Source organism: Homo sapiens, chromosome 3, assembly GCF_000001405.40.
Source record: "Homo sapiens chromosome 3, GRCh38.p14 Primary Assembly".
Taxonomy (NCBI): Eukaryota; Metazoa; Chordata; class Mammalia; order Primates; family Hominidae; genus Homo; species Homo sapiens.
In genome coordinates this window covers 71,673,828-71,688,544 of record NC_000003.12, presented here as the reverse complement: position 1 = coordinate 71,688,544, position 14,717 = coordinate 71,673,828, and the positions used below count along the sequence as shown (strand labels likewise).

At 38.4% G+C, this 14,717-nt stretch overlaps 1 protein-coding gene across 11 annotated transcripts in view; it reads left to right on the top strand.

The window, feature by feature from the left end:
- Positions 1-14,717, top strand: part of EIF4E3 (eukaryotic translation initiation factor 4E family member 3) — a 95,411-nt gene that overhangs the window by 66,229 nt on the left and 14,465 nt on the right. For 8 of the 11 annotated variants that reach the window (NM_173359.5, NM_001134649.3, XM_047448063.1 and 5 more), the window contains one exon: positions 3,817-13,131. The exons of 2 other annotated variants lie outside the window; for them this stretch is intronic. In NM_173359.5, the coding sequence (NP_775495.1) occupies positions 3,817-3,863 (47 nt within the window). In that variant the 3' untranslated portion in view covers positions 3,864-13,131. Of the gene's footprint in view, positions 1-3,816; positions 13,132-14,717 lie in introns of those variants that run through there. One more of the 11 variants, NM_001134650.1, reaches the window with a different exon arrangement.

The window sequence follows — 14,717 nt, the reverse complement described above, 5'->3', positions numbered from 1 at the left end:
GTTAAGTCAGGCACTTTAGGTTTTTGTCCCACTTCACCAGTGTGACCTTGAGCAAGTCACAACTTCTCATCCTTTACCTTTCTCATCTGAGTATCGAGGAGGTTGGTCTTAGATGATCTCCAAGGTTCCTTCTACTGCAAAATTCTATGATTAAGTTTCCAGGTAGCACATTGGTTAGCAGCAGGCTCAACACAGATAATAAGATATCTGTTTTATCAGATAATAAGGCCACAAAGTGGTTAGGCTAGTTTTTAGGGCCATGGCAATAATCAGATAAGATTGTCAAAGGGCAGGATGATTCACTGCTTAGCTGTTGTGATGGCTCTGGGAAAGAAAAAAGCCAAACAAGGGGAAAGAAAACTGCAACTTGGCCAGTTAAATCAAATAGATACCTAAAGGTAGGGGCCATTGCAAAGTATGTAATACAGAACTGAGGAAGGGTCTCAGCAGAAATTCATACTTTAAGGGCATAAATTGGCATTTAAAAACTCAAAGATTGTTCAAATAAAAATCTGAATTTGAAAAAAAACAAGCAGTTTTCTTTATTGTAAACAAAGCAGGCAGTCCTTTACTCAGCAGGGTATACACTACTTGCTGCAGAAGTAATTTGGAAAAATAAGATTTGGGCTGAAATCTTTTTCACAGCAGGGTAAGCTAAGTTAGAAATGGCCAATGTATGCTTTTACTCTGGTTTGGTTAATAGGATCCTAGTGTAAGTATTCCCAAGTTTACATAAGCCAGGTGACTGTAGATTTTCCATGTAGAAAGAACCCAAGCATATTCAGTCATGGCCTCTAGCGGGTAGATGGGCATTGGGCCATTGATAACTTACATTTGATATGGATACACATTATTTGACTGAGAAACTCACAATGCACAGACTCCACTCACTGACCAGCCCCACCCTGGCCAATTCTGCTAAGTTCTTCAGAACAGCTGAGTGACAAAGGTCTTTTCTGGTGTGAGAATTGTTTACAGCAGGAAGCTGGAGCCCAAATCTGCCCTCTGTGTTACCCTCTCCGCTCTCCTGTTTCTGTATAGGTATAGCTGAGAATGCTTTTTACATTTTTCAGTGGTTGGAAAAAAAAGAAAAAGTATATTTTGTAACACATGAAAATTATATGAATATCAAATTTTAGTGTCCATAAATAAAGTTTTATCAGCATAGAGCAATACCCATTTGTTTCCGTATTACCTATAGCTGCTTTAGTGCTACAATGGCAGAGTTAGTAATTGATACAGAGGTCAGGCATGGTGGCTCACGCCTGTAATCCCAGCACTTTGGGAGGCCGAGGCAGGCAGATCATCTGAGGTCAGGAGTTAAAGACCAGCCTGGCCAACATGGCGAAACCCCATCTCTACTAAAAATATAAAAAGCTAGCCAGGCGTGGTGGCAGGTGCCTATAATCCCAGCTACTTGGGAGACTGAGGCAGGAGAATTGTTTGAACCCAGGAGGTGAAGGTTGCAGTGAGCCAGGATCACACCATTGCACTCTAGCCTGGGCGACAAGAGAAAAACTCTGTCTCAAAAACAACAACAACAAATAATAATAATTGGGACAGAGACCATATGGTCATAAAGACAAACATTTATTCTCTTCCTTTTCCTGAAAATGTTTGCCAACTCCAGGCTTAGAGCAATTCTATAATCCCTTTCTACCCAAGGTAACCTAAGGCTGACAGTACACCTGTTCACTAGGCACTCCCAATTCTGAATGTTCTGTTGTACTGTCTCTTTAACCCATCAACATTGTAGTTTGCAACTATGACCACCCCAGACTGCCCCTCACACCTAGAAGTAACACAGATCTTTGGATAGTCTGTATATCTGGATTTATTGTTTGGAAACCAGGTCACTGTAGTTCTATGGTACCTCTACTTGACCCTGAAGCATAGTGTAATTTCCTTGCAGATCAAAGCGTGTTTTCTTCGATATCTTCCCTAAATATCTTTCTTAAAAAGAAAACACACACACACACACACACACACACACACACACACTCAATGTGAAATATTTGCAAAGTTAAAGCTGTGAGAAATGTTCTATTAAATTAGTTCAGATTTCAGGCTGCCCTTAGGAGTATGGCCAACCTGAGGTGACCTGGGAGGTATAAAGTGCATCTCTCCCAGTGTTTCATCCAAGTGCGGAGTAGGTTGGGGTGAACGTCCAAGATGATGTTGAAGGGAAAATAGGCCCGTTCCATCCACCCCCTCAGCAATAGTCTGAAGAATTTAGTCCTTATGAAAAACACAGAGGCCAGGTACAGTGGTTCATGCCTGTAATCCCAGCACTTTGGGAGTCTGAGGCCGGTGGATCGCTTGAGCTCAGGAGTTCGAGACCAGCCTGGGCAACATGGCAAAACCCTGTCTCTATCAATCAAAAAGACAAAAGTTAGCCGGGCATGGTGGCACATACCTGTAATCCCAGCTACTCAGGAGACTGAAGTGAGAGGATTGCTTGAGCCCGGGAAGTCAAGGCTGCAGTGAGCCGAGTAGCATGATGCTACTGCACTCCAACCTGGGTGACAGAGCAGCAAGACCCAGTCTTAAAAAACAAAAAGAAAAATAAAACAGAACTGGAAGGGGCTTAAAAGGTGAAATGGGCCAGCCCATCTGCCTCCCTAGAACCCCATTCACTGCTAAGTGTGGGTAGCGTGTTGGGGATCAAAGCACCCAGAGTCCTGAATCACCCCACCTTTATCAGACGTTGCTTCCTGGTAATGGTTAACCAGATCCGGGAGGTAGATTGTCACACTCAGTCTTTTGCCTTAGAGAAAATGTTATGTATTTCGTAGGTCTCCCTGTGGCATCTTCTACTTTAAAAAACGTTAAGTGTTTGAAAATATTTTTGGTAGCATAATTTTTTTAAATTCCTGAGTTCCGGCTGGGCCTGGTGGCTCACGCCTATAATCCCACTACTTTGGGAGGCTGAGGCAGGTGGTTCACTTGAGGTCAGGAGTTCCAGACCAGCCTGTCCAACATGGTGAGACCCCCATCTCTACCAAAAATACAAAAATTAGCTGGACGTGGTGGCACACGCCTGTATCCCAGCTACTCCAGAGGCTGAGGCTGGAGAATTGCTTGAACCTGGGAGGCAGAGGAGGTTGCAGTGAGCCAAGATTGCGCCACTGCACTCCAGCCTGGGCTACAGAGCAAAACTACGTCTCAAAAAAATATATATATATTCTAGAGTTCCTAATTAAAATTAGTAATTTTGCAAGCCAGATGATAGGTCTGAATATCTATTGGCAGGGGGAAACTTGATTTGGAAAAATAAAACTTAGCAATTTTATGAAACTTCATTTCCCATGGAGAGTGTTGAGAGGTAGGGAGCAGGGGCACCTAGATATAATTGCTGTCACCCTGGTGTGGTTCTTTGTTTTGTTTTATTTTTAGTTTATTTTTAAAGATAGGCTTGTAAGCGGCTCTGTCTTGGGTTGTGTCAGGCACCCCCTCTCCCCACCCCCTGCAATGCATTTTGTGGGGCACATTTTCCCCTGCGGCATTTGCTTGCAGCCCAACATACTCTCTTCATCGGCTTGCTGAGATGACTCATCCTCCCAGGCACAGCAAGAAGAAACAGGCAGCATGCCCATTGCTTGTTTATTCCTTGTTTTAATTTTCATTATTACGTTTCTCAGGAAATGCACGCCTTAGCTAACAGTTACTGGCAAAAAAATAAATAAATAAATAAGGTGTTTGAGTTCTTGCCAACATTTGGGGAAGCTGAATGAGATGCCTAGAGGAGGGTTGGCCCATCCTTTGCTTAAAGTTTTCTTTCCTTTTTTTCTTTTTTGTTTTTTTTCTGTCCTTTAGCCCATGAAGAGCATCATGCTTTTGAAGGTGGACGTGGAAAACACTAATTGCACTCTGTAAAGAATTCTTTGTCCTTTGCTGATTGGTTTTGGAAACGGTCTTAACAGGAGGGAGAGTGAAGAGAAGACTTGCCGAAGCCGATGCTGGTCAATTTAGAGTGGGTTTCTGTCCTTGCAGATGGGCAATTAGGACTCAAAGTGGCAGGTGGGGTGGGGGGAGATTGTGTGGGTTTCTACCGTCACATTACTTGCTTTTTAAAAAAAACACACACAAAAAACTTTTTTTTTGGCTTTCTAAATTCTCTGTTCTTTTCACTCTGATTTTTTTTTTTTTTTGCCGTTTAAAATTCCTTATTCAGCCTAATTATTGTTTTCTACACTCCCCTTTCATTGAGGCACAAGAAATGGGTTTCCCTTTAAGTAGCTCTGCTGTACCTAGTTAATGAGAATATGCATAATCGTGACAATACTGCTTTTGAATACCACACTGTACAAGGAGGAACACTAGCTTGGAGAAATCTGTCTTCTGATTATTTGTTGTGACACATTCCTATGTACTGTGAGCTGGGCATTGTTTTTTTCTGTCCCAGGGAAAAGAAAAACCATACTTAATGTGATTTTGCACTGACAGCACACAAATCTTTAATTTTCCTTTTTAAAACATTTTTTTTTAGTGATAAAAGGAAAATAATAGTTGGATTGCATAACATGAAAACTATAATCACAATTCAGTATCAGGATATAAATCAAGCTCTAAGTCTTTGGACCCTCTGTGGAAACATTTCTAACCCGAATTTTAATTTGGCCTTTTCAACCAAAGGCTTAGAGTGGTAGCAAGGGATTTCTTCCAATAGGAAACCTGATGTTTCTGATTTAAAGAGAAGGTGATATTTTAATTGTTTGAATTAAGCTCCTTGCAAAGTTCGGGTGTGTTTACCCACTTAGGGCTTTCTTTCCCAGTCAACGCTAACACATTTTGTTAAATGATCCCTTTCCCTGCTCACATTGTGTGTCATTTCTCATCATCAGTAGTCCTCCAGCCTGGGCAGCTGTCCCCACCCTTTTTCATGTAGGTGCAGGAAGTTAAATCTCATTTCCAGGATGCATGTGAACATTTACAAAGTTGAACTTTGAGTGCATTCTGCTCATATGAATTATTGGGATTGTTGATATATATTGTATTATGCTACCAAAGAAATATTGGTTTTATTAGAAGGAAATGGTCATCCTCTGGACCATGGAGACTAGCTCAGAATACGCTGATTTCCCTCTCCTGACTTTGCCAAGCCTTTGGCTGCTTTTGCCTGATAAAGGGCAGGGCCATCTGAAGACACTTCCCCCAGTCGGCTTTGGAGTCACGGGAGCTAGTGCCTGCTCACACATTTTTCAAAAGGGCAGTGCACTCAGAACTTCACTGTACCTGGGATTTTTAATTCCTCTTGCAGTGTTGACCAGCAGAGAGACTTGAGGCTACTTTAAGCCTCCACTATGTGTTTGTAGATAAAATTCTCCATTCAAACATTTTAAAGGACTTTGAACATTATCTGCTTATGGAAGTTGTGCCCTTCACTTGGTTAGTAACCACCTCAGCCATAATACTTACCATCATAGGTTTCTTAAAATGCTTTTTTTTTTTCCCTAAACTTGAGTTTCCTTAGTGATTTCAAAATGAAGTATAAGAATATCAGATCCAGTTAGCAAAAGCCTAGGACTTGTTTCTCCAAACATTGTACTAACATTCAACTTGTTTTAAAATTATGACTCAAGAATTTTAAAAAATTATTCTGGACATGAATTAAAACTTTTTTATAATATAAGTATTTTTCTGATTGAAAAAAGGATATAATTGACTTCACTCTAATTGTCATGTATATTTCCATAAGTAAATGGATTTTGAAGTATTTTTATTTTTTGAACTTTATTTAAAGCATTTGTGATGACATGTTCAACTTTTGCATGTATGTAGCCTTTGAAGTAAAAATAAATAGGAATGTTAGGCTCACGTTAATATTTCTAGTTTCTGTTTATGATCATGGAACATGACTAGCACACAAAGTAGATTTTTGCCCCAGTGAACTTCTGCAACTGTTTCTGACCCTTTAGAAAATACCAACTGTGAGAAGGATTTAATTTGCCTAATGTTAAAAACCTATCATCTAAATTACTTTCAGAGAGGATTTTGTCAGATTTTGGTTTGGAAATTGTTTTAATTGAATATTTAATCATAATAGACTTTGTATGAACTAAGCTGATTTAATCAGTTTAAAAACCTCTCATTACCTTCTTAGATTAAAGAAGCTAATACTGTTTTGAGATAGAAGGAAATATTTTGTGGGGCATGTGACTTTTGTGTTAAGGCAGTTTACCCATCTTGGCTGATGTGGGGAAAGTGCAAACTTCCAGTAGAATCCCGGTCTTTTCATCCAAGTGCTTGCAGGGGCAGCCTTGTAGTCTGCAAAGAACCATGCAGAAACCAAAGAGCTTGCTTTTTTGTCTTTGTAATTCCTTAGGGTCTGTGATATATGCCAGGAAATCTGATTGAAACTAATATGCTTTTTATTCTCCCATTATTCCCTAAATTGTTATATCACAGGCACTTGCCTACATTGGGAAAGTAAGGACAAATAATACCCATTTAAAGTAACTTGCCTATATTTTGACTGTCTTTCGTAAGCACTTGCTGAACTGCTGACTTAACTCAGTTTTAAGATTTCCTCTTTCCCCCCAACTTTTCCACATTTCTTAAATGAGGGTGTAATTTACTGCAAACATGTACATTTAATATAATATTGCTGTTAGATTCGTGGTACACTTTATGAAGCAAAAACATGAAAAGGAAACCACAACTCTAATAAACTTTAAATTAAAGATTAAGATGACTCTTTCTCACCCCTCTTCTTGAGTTTAGCCCATGTCTACACCATGCACACAGTCACAAGACTTTATAGCTTAGAAACTTTAGGTATAATTGGGTCCTATAGACATAATATACAATCCACCAACTGAGCCTTGGCCGAACTTGTCCCTTGTTAAAGACGTAGGGCTAGCCAGCCACAGAGCTGGGTATTGAAGTCGGCAAGTTGTATCCCGGTGCAGGCGTCCTTAAATGGAGAGTACTCAGAATCTGCCAGCCTTAACCTGCCCACTAGCCACCCTAATCAAGCATTAAATATCTGATCCAATCTGGCCACTGGTGTAACTCCGTAATCAGACATCCTGTTTGTAAACAGCTCCTCCTTCTCTCCCTCTCCCTCTCAGAGACAGAAGTGGTGCTGGGGTTTGGAGTTTGAAAATAACCTTCCTATGACAGGAAGTGGGCTTTTGCTATTAGTTGCCCAACTCTTAGAGGATCCCAGCTTGTGTCTTTAGACAAAACTGACAGCCTTTGGAACGATCGCATGGTGGCGCTGCCTTCCAGCCAACAGTTCTGGCTCAGCAGCAGAATTTATCCAGCTATGTTTGTAGAATTTTTTTAAGATCCTACTGCATTTTGCTCTTAAGCTTTTATAAAAATTTGACGAGAAAATGTAAAAATGATACTTGGCAATAAGACATTTAGTTTTCATGCACCTAATAAAAATGTGTCAAAGCTAGATCGCTCCAGATGTGCTTAAAATATCTCAAATCCTAGGCTCTCATTGGCCTTATAAGTGATTGGGAAGAAAAAGAATAAAATAAACTCACATATAGGAGATATGGAAAATATTTCATCAAATATTATGCCCAAAGAGAGAAAATTAGGAGTTGATTTTTTTTAGCACTCTGAATATGGAACTTCCTTTTAAAAATGTAATTCTACCCTTCACCTTTCCTACATTGTATGTTTCTGTGAGATTTTACTCATTACAAGTGAAAGTAGAGGACTGCCTGTGAATTGTTCACTTCTGAAAAGAATATATTGAGATCAGTTAAAATTACTCAAGAGTTTGGTGACTCAGGATTGTAAAAAGCCTGGATCTCAACAGCTGGGAGGAGTCAGAGGGTGAAGTGGGAAAAAATAGGGACTGAGAGGCAACGAAAAGTCCCTTTGAACCTGTGGTCATTTATAGCAATTAGAGTGGGTTGCCCCTCTACTTCTCCCAAGAAGAAATCCCAAATAGATTCCTTTCATGTCAGATTATACTGTTCTGATTTTATTTTCTATTATTTTTACATATACATCCAAATCTAAGAATACTTATTCAGATTGGCCCACTCAGGCCAAAAGTCACTGTCTTGTGTTCTAGAAATTCTTTCATGTTGCTGACATAAATCCATTTTTAAAAGAACATTCAGGGACTCTTAGAATTTTAGAGTGGAAGGGACCTTTGAGATCATCTACCAGTGCTTCTCACCCCTTAGCATGCAGCAAAATCACTCAGATACTTACTTATTATTCACATTTCTTGACCCCAGCACTAGAAATCTGGGAGGATATCTGCATTTTTAACAAGTGCCCTAGTGATTCTAATGCTGATGGTGCTCAGATCGCTCTTGGAGAACCCCTGATTTTATCCAACTCCCACATATGACAAATGAGGAAAGCCTCCCAACCCTAAGCTCTGTCAGGTGACCTGATTCCAATGTATGATACCAACAATCTTATGAAGGCTGGAGAAAACCATTAATACTGAGACTTGAGTAGATGATGCTCGTGAATAAGAACTTTATGGCTGGGACCACAGCAGTCATGGGAGCCCATCCCTGGAAGTCCATAATATAAAGCCTTTAATACAGAGTGGTGGTTTTTCTCTTTTCTAAATACCATTTCAGTCTGTTAAGAGAAAAGAAATTAGTGTTCAGAAAAGTAGTTACTCCATATGTGCAGTAACTACTTTTCTATAATGTCTTATGGCATCTGGGGTTCAGCATCATTGAACAAGATTAAATGAACGTTATAGAGCTATAAAATTGCATGTAAAATAACACAAAACTGTTCAAATGACTATCAAAGTAGCCTGGGAATGAATTTCCACTAAAATTAATTGTCACTTTCAAAACGTAGCTTAGCAAAGCTGTTACTAAACTGGAGAGATCCTTTAATACATAGAAATGTCAAAAAAATCAAATAAGTATTCCCTAAACGATGTGAGTGATAAGCAAAAGTCATTGCAAAGTCAGTATTTTTTTGTTCATCATTGCTACTGAAATTCAGAGTTCCATTGTATATGTGTGTCTTGAGTGTACCTTATTAGAATATCCAATACAATAGCTTTTGGATATTCTATGCTTTTGTGTCCTTCAGAAATCATGAGATTGAAGGAATCTGTGTTAAATGTTTTTGTTTTGGTTGCTGCCTGAAAAAAGTTACCAACTCATTTAGTGAAATGCAAGATTTCTTTATGAAAATTTCAATTTCTAATATCGAAGTCAGATAATTTTTCTTGAACTTTTATTTTGGAACAGATGTTTATTTCGGATCTATTAAAGTGTCAACTTTGCATTATAGAACTGAACATGAAGTAAATTGAGTGTTTCTGAGTTTTCTATAGAAAATTTATGCTACCTCTCATCTTTTCACATACAAATAAGCAACTTTTAATGAAGGCTTAGGGTGAAAATTTTAATTTTAGCACTTTACATTACATGATGAATGGTGAATATTAAAGGACTTTGAACATTTTAATAAACTTACAGTGTTTCTGTTTTCAAATAGAGGTATTGATGCTGTGGATATACATTAAATTCTCCCCAAAGTTCTCAGACTTTAATCAGATAATGTGGCTTACAACCATTGTTTTTGTTTTTAAGTTTTAACACTGTCTTTTCAGTATTCATTTAAAACAAGTCACCATGACTTTGAATATATTCTCATGGAGAATTTATTTCAATGATTATATAAAAGAATTTCAAAATTTAAACTAGTGAGCATACTTTAGCTTGAGACAGCTAACATTATTTGTCCCAAATTTAAAATCTTACATTGAAAGTTATTAATTCTTTAGAATAGTCTTACCTGTGTAAGTTGAACCAGGTTTGTTTGATTATGTTTTGGATCTGCTTGTGCCCCCACCCCCCTATTTTATACCATCTGTGCCCTGTGCAGTTGGGGACCCTTTCACATCTGGCTACAAGCTGGTGTAATGCCCTTCCTTTTGATCTGGCTTCATCTAGTGATTTGCTCAGTATTTTTAAGGTCAGACTGAAAACTTTTCTGTTCTAGTTATTTTTGATTTTATATTGTGTGTTGTGTTTGATGTTCAGATACATGTGAAAGTTGCTTCTATAAGTCAGTATTTTTTATTCCAGCCTTTTGCAGCAATAAGGTAAGACTAGACTATACTTTTCTTACTTGAAAAGGTAGTGATTTATGTGTTTAGTGCAAATGTTTAGACTGTTTTGCAATTTTCTAATTTGGGACTATATTGCTATGAATTTGTGCTTCTTCATTTTTCAGGGTAGTAGTTCACAGGGTTTGTTTAAGTGTTAGTTTGTAGAACTTTATTTTGAGATCTTTTGTAATCTGTTGCTACTAATTCTCATTCTGTATTGAGGTTCTTATAGTATAGAAATGTCATTTTCATCCTCCAGTTTAAAAATTTCATGCAGTTTAATCAACCACATCACTTAATCATTATTAGATTTCCAGTGTGTGTGTGGTGATTAGAATAACCTTGTTTATTACAACACATATTAAAAGTTTCTGTCCAACACCTCTAATATGTGTGACGCTGCTAGCATGGAGTCTGACGCTTAGTAGGTTATCTGGTATTCTGATGGGGAGTAACTGTTGTTATTTTTACACTTCCCTGTTGAACACATTTGATAATAGGGCTCATCTGGGTCTCTTAGAAAACGTATCTTGCTTATTTTAATTCTTTTTCTTTACCCTCTATTAAGAATGGTTCCGTTTTAGAATAAGTCAATTACTCTCGTTGCTCTTTTGTGCTGCAATTTGCTGGTGAGATTCAGTTGTCCCCTGTTTCGGCAAGTAAAGTGAATTTACTCCTCCTTTCTGGCTGTCTAATATATTCCTTTAAAAACAAACAAAACGTACCAACAAACTCTTCTTCCATTCATCTGCAGACTTTCCTATCTCTCCCTGCAGAAACAAGCAATTCAGGATCTTATGTGTGATGCCTAATTAATTTTAACACAGCGAATTTAATGAAATCGTTGAAGAGCAGGGCATAACACTAGGAAGGCTTTAAAATTTCATAATGTTTCCCTCTCATATTTGCATCTGATTACTGCCACCATGCATTCTGTGTGTACTTTATCATCTAGTCGTTATTGATGCACTTTTTGGAATGTGTTCTCGGTTGTTCTATTAGCATAGGTTCCTCTGCCTTGTCACCTAACGTACAGTTTTCTTGGAAGCCAAGACCATGCATGCCTTTTCTTCCTCAGTGATCCTTTCGCTGCAGTAACTGCTATTAAAGAACTTTTAACTGCTTTTCGTTAATGAATGCATAAAAAAATCTCTGGAATCCTACAAGACGATGGTTCTTTTGTTACATGAAGAAAAGAAAAAACAGTAGCATTTGCAAGGGCCAGCAAGTTAAAATATATGTCATTAAAATATGTTTCTATTTCCCATCATCTGGCTAGGCTGTGGTGCTGACTAGCTTATTTCTTGCCAGAGAAAATAAGTTTAAATCATAAGCATATTTAACTAGCAAGCATAAATCATAAATTCTTTATAATCGTAAGCATGTTGAACTCTGGTACCATTTGTACAGATGGCAGGGCTAAATGTGTGTGCTCCTCTAAGCATTAAAGATGTGGACAAGCTCTTACTCCCCAATTTCCTCTTTAACTCAGGAAACTTAAATCATTTGTTTTTTGCACATATAGGATTATATAAAGTATGGACCTAGAGAAAGGTTTCAGATCTTAGGAAACATTTGAGTTTTGTGATTCATGCTTACTGGAAAAGAATGATGGAAGTGAAGGTTAAACACTAAAGCCGTGTCCCCTTTTTAAGGCGAAAATAATTAGTGTTTCATGAAGATAGTCAAGTTATAAAGGACAAGACTGTTTTTCAGAATTTTTTTTTTTTTTTGAAAACAAACATCTTGGAATCCACATTTTAACAGAGGTCCATCAGCTTTCAAAGAGTGTTCCCTAGAAGGGTGGTTCCACAGAAACACTTTCAGATATGGCAAAGTTTTCATTGTAAAATACATTTTAAGAAGTATTTTTAAAAGTGTAATAAAGCAATAACACACAGTGACATGCATCACATGGCCAAATTTTAACATTTTGGAAGCCAGTAAGTATAACTTATGTACTCACTGATTTTGTTTTATGAAATGAAACAAAGGTTTTATAAAACCTTTTTATTGTAAAATAAAGGTACAGAAAACCACACAAAACAAATGTGTAACTTACTGAATTGTTACAAGGAGAACACTCTATAACAGCAGGCCAAGAAATAGAACTTTGCCGGTCACCCCAGGAGCCCTTTCTTGTGTCCCCGCCCTCTCCACTAAAATAACCATTATCCTGACCTACAGGAGACACTTGCATTTCTCTCTGGTTTTATCACAGGTGATAAACATCATTTTACATATAGAATCTTCTCTAACTATGAACGTTGGTTCAGAAAACTTATTTGTAAGTCTTTTAAATGATGAGTGCAAAATGACACACTATAAGCAATTGATACCCCCGTAAGTTAGTAACTGGGCAGAATTTAATGTGCTTTTGCTGTAGTGTGTGGCTCTGTCCATAGCTATAATATCCACAATAACAATAGCATGTATGGAGTTCCATGCCATCTAAGCATAGAGGTTAGTTCTCCCCAACACTCTACGAGGTAGATGCTGTCATTGTTGTCCCCAGTTTGTGTATGTGGAAACATATGCATGAGGTTCAGAGAGGTGAAATAACTTGCCGAAGGTCACACCAGTAGTCAGTTGCAGAACCAAGATACATCTAAGGTACTGTGGCTCCAGCCTGTTCTTCAGTGAGGCTGCCTTGGTGGAAGTTGAAGATATGATGTGCAAGAATTTTGAGATTCCTTATGAGAGTTTGTTTACAAAGAAAAGGTTTTACAGCTTTAAGAAAAAGATGGAAAAATCACTGGCCTAGTTCAAACTTTTCATTTTACAGATGAAGAAATGACCCAGAAAGTATAAAGAATTCGTTCAAGGTCACACAAGTAGTTGGTGGCAAAGTTGCAGCTATATCCCAAATCTCCTGGCTGTTAAAATCAATGATCTTTTCTTCATTCCATATATTATGTGGAAAAAATGCATGTTTTCTAACCTGCTTCTTTGCGACAACTCCATGTAAGCAGATTTGTCTTAAAACCAGTTTATAGCTAGGACACACCATCTACTTGCTTATTTTCTCAAGGTTTTAACTGGGAATTAAAAAATTTATATCTGAAGCTTGCTTTTCTGTCTCACTTATTGAGTGCCCAATCTGCAGACACACATGCCTAACACTCTTCTCCAAAGAATGTACAAGAATAACACATTTGCTGGTGTGGATGGCAGGTGAAAAAGAATTACTGATGTAGCGTGTAGGCCCTTCAACATATTCACGGCCAATTCCGGATTATCCCAGCACAGATGGATCATGCAAAATCCCTCTTCTACTTCTTACTGGTGACCTTTAACTATTTGTGTTTGCAAATGCTTCTACCAGGGATTGGAAAGGAGAAGAGCAGAGAAGATGGAATTTGGTTTCTTGACCAGAATGTTAGGTGTTCTGGTAAAAGGTTTGGTGGTTTTGCCACTTAAGAGTACAGGGAGACCGTAGGATTCTCTCTGGATTTGAACTTGTCCGGGATGCCCAATTTAGCCTTGAATATGAACAATCAGAAAGAAAGCAAACTGACGCAATGCAAAGAGCTTAGTTTGGAATTTGCTTTATTGGGTTGAAATTCTATTCGCTTGTGCCTTGAGCAAGTCCCTCAACATATCTGAGCCCCAGTTTCCTCCTTTTTAGAAGGGCAAGGTAGAGCTTCTTCAAAGCCAGTAACATATGAAGCACCCAGCTCAGCCCTTTGGATGTGGTAAAGAGTTAGTAAATGGTACTTCCATTGGTTGGCTGTATCAATTCATCCATACAGTGAAGAGAATGAACTGCTTCAAGGAAACTTTCCCACTTTCCTCCTCAGGTATTGGCCCAGCTTAACTTGTTTGAGGTCCTACAACAAACAGTGTTGAGGTGGCAACACTGTGGCCAAACCCATTAGTCTTCTAACTGCTTGTTTATGATCTTTCTACCTTATTGTACCATATTGGGAAAAAACAAATCATCCCCATTTACTTGAGTTCTGTGCACTTGACTTCTGCGTTGATTTGCCACAAACCAACTTAAAACCGAAATGAACTTTCCAATTATTTTCTAAGAGCATTATTGCCATCATAACATAAGAAGGAAGTTCAGGGTCGGGCGCAGTGGCTCATGCCTGTAATCTCAGCACTTTGGGAGGCTGAGCTGGGTGGATCACCTGAGGCTGGGAGTTCAAGACCAGCCCGGCCAACATGGTGAAACCCCATCAATACTAAAAATACAAAAATTAGTTGGGCATGGTGGTGCACGACTGTAATTCCAGCTACTCAGGAGGCCGAGGCATAAGAATCACTTGAACCTAGGAGGCAGAGGTTGCAGTCAGCTGGGATTATGCCACTGCACTCCAGCCTGGGCGACACAGCGAGGCGCTGTCTCAAAAAAAAAAAAAAAAAAAAAAAAAAAAAAAAAAGTACAGTTGATGAAAATGTTTTAGAGGCTGAACAAATTCTCACTGAAGCATAAGTCTCCTATTGTCCATCTTGGATTGCAGACACTCAAACTTGTCACTGAGGGGACAATTGTGAGAAGCTCCCAAGAGTTCCCTGTATGATGTGCATATTATGTTTTTTATATATATATATATATATATAATTATTATATTATTATTTTAATCCTGGCTACCTTAAAGGAAAGTTAATAGGCCTTAGTATTGCTGAGATATAGACCATATAC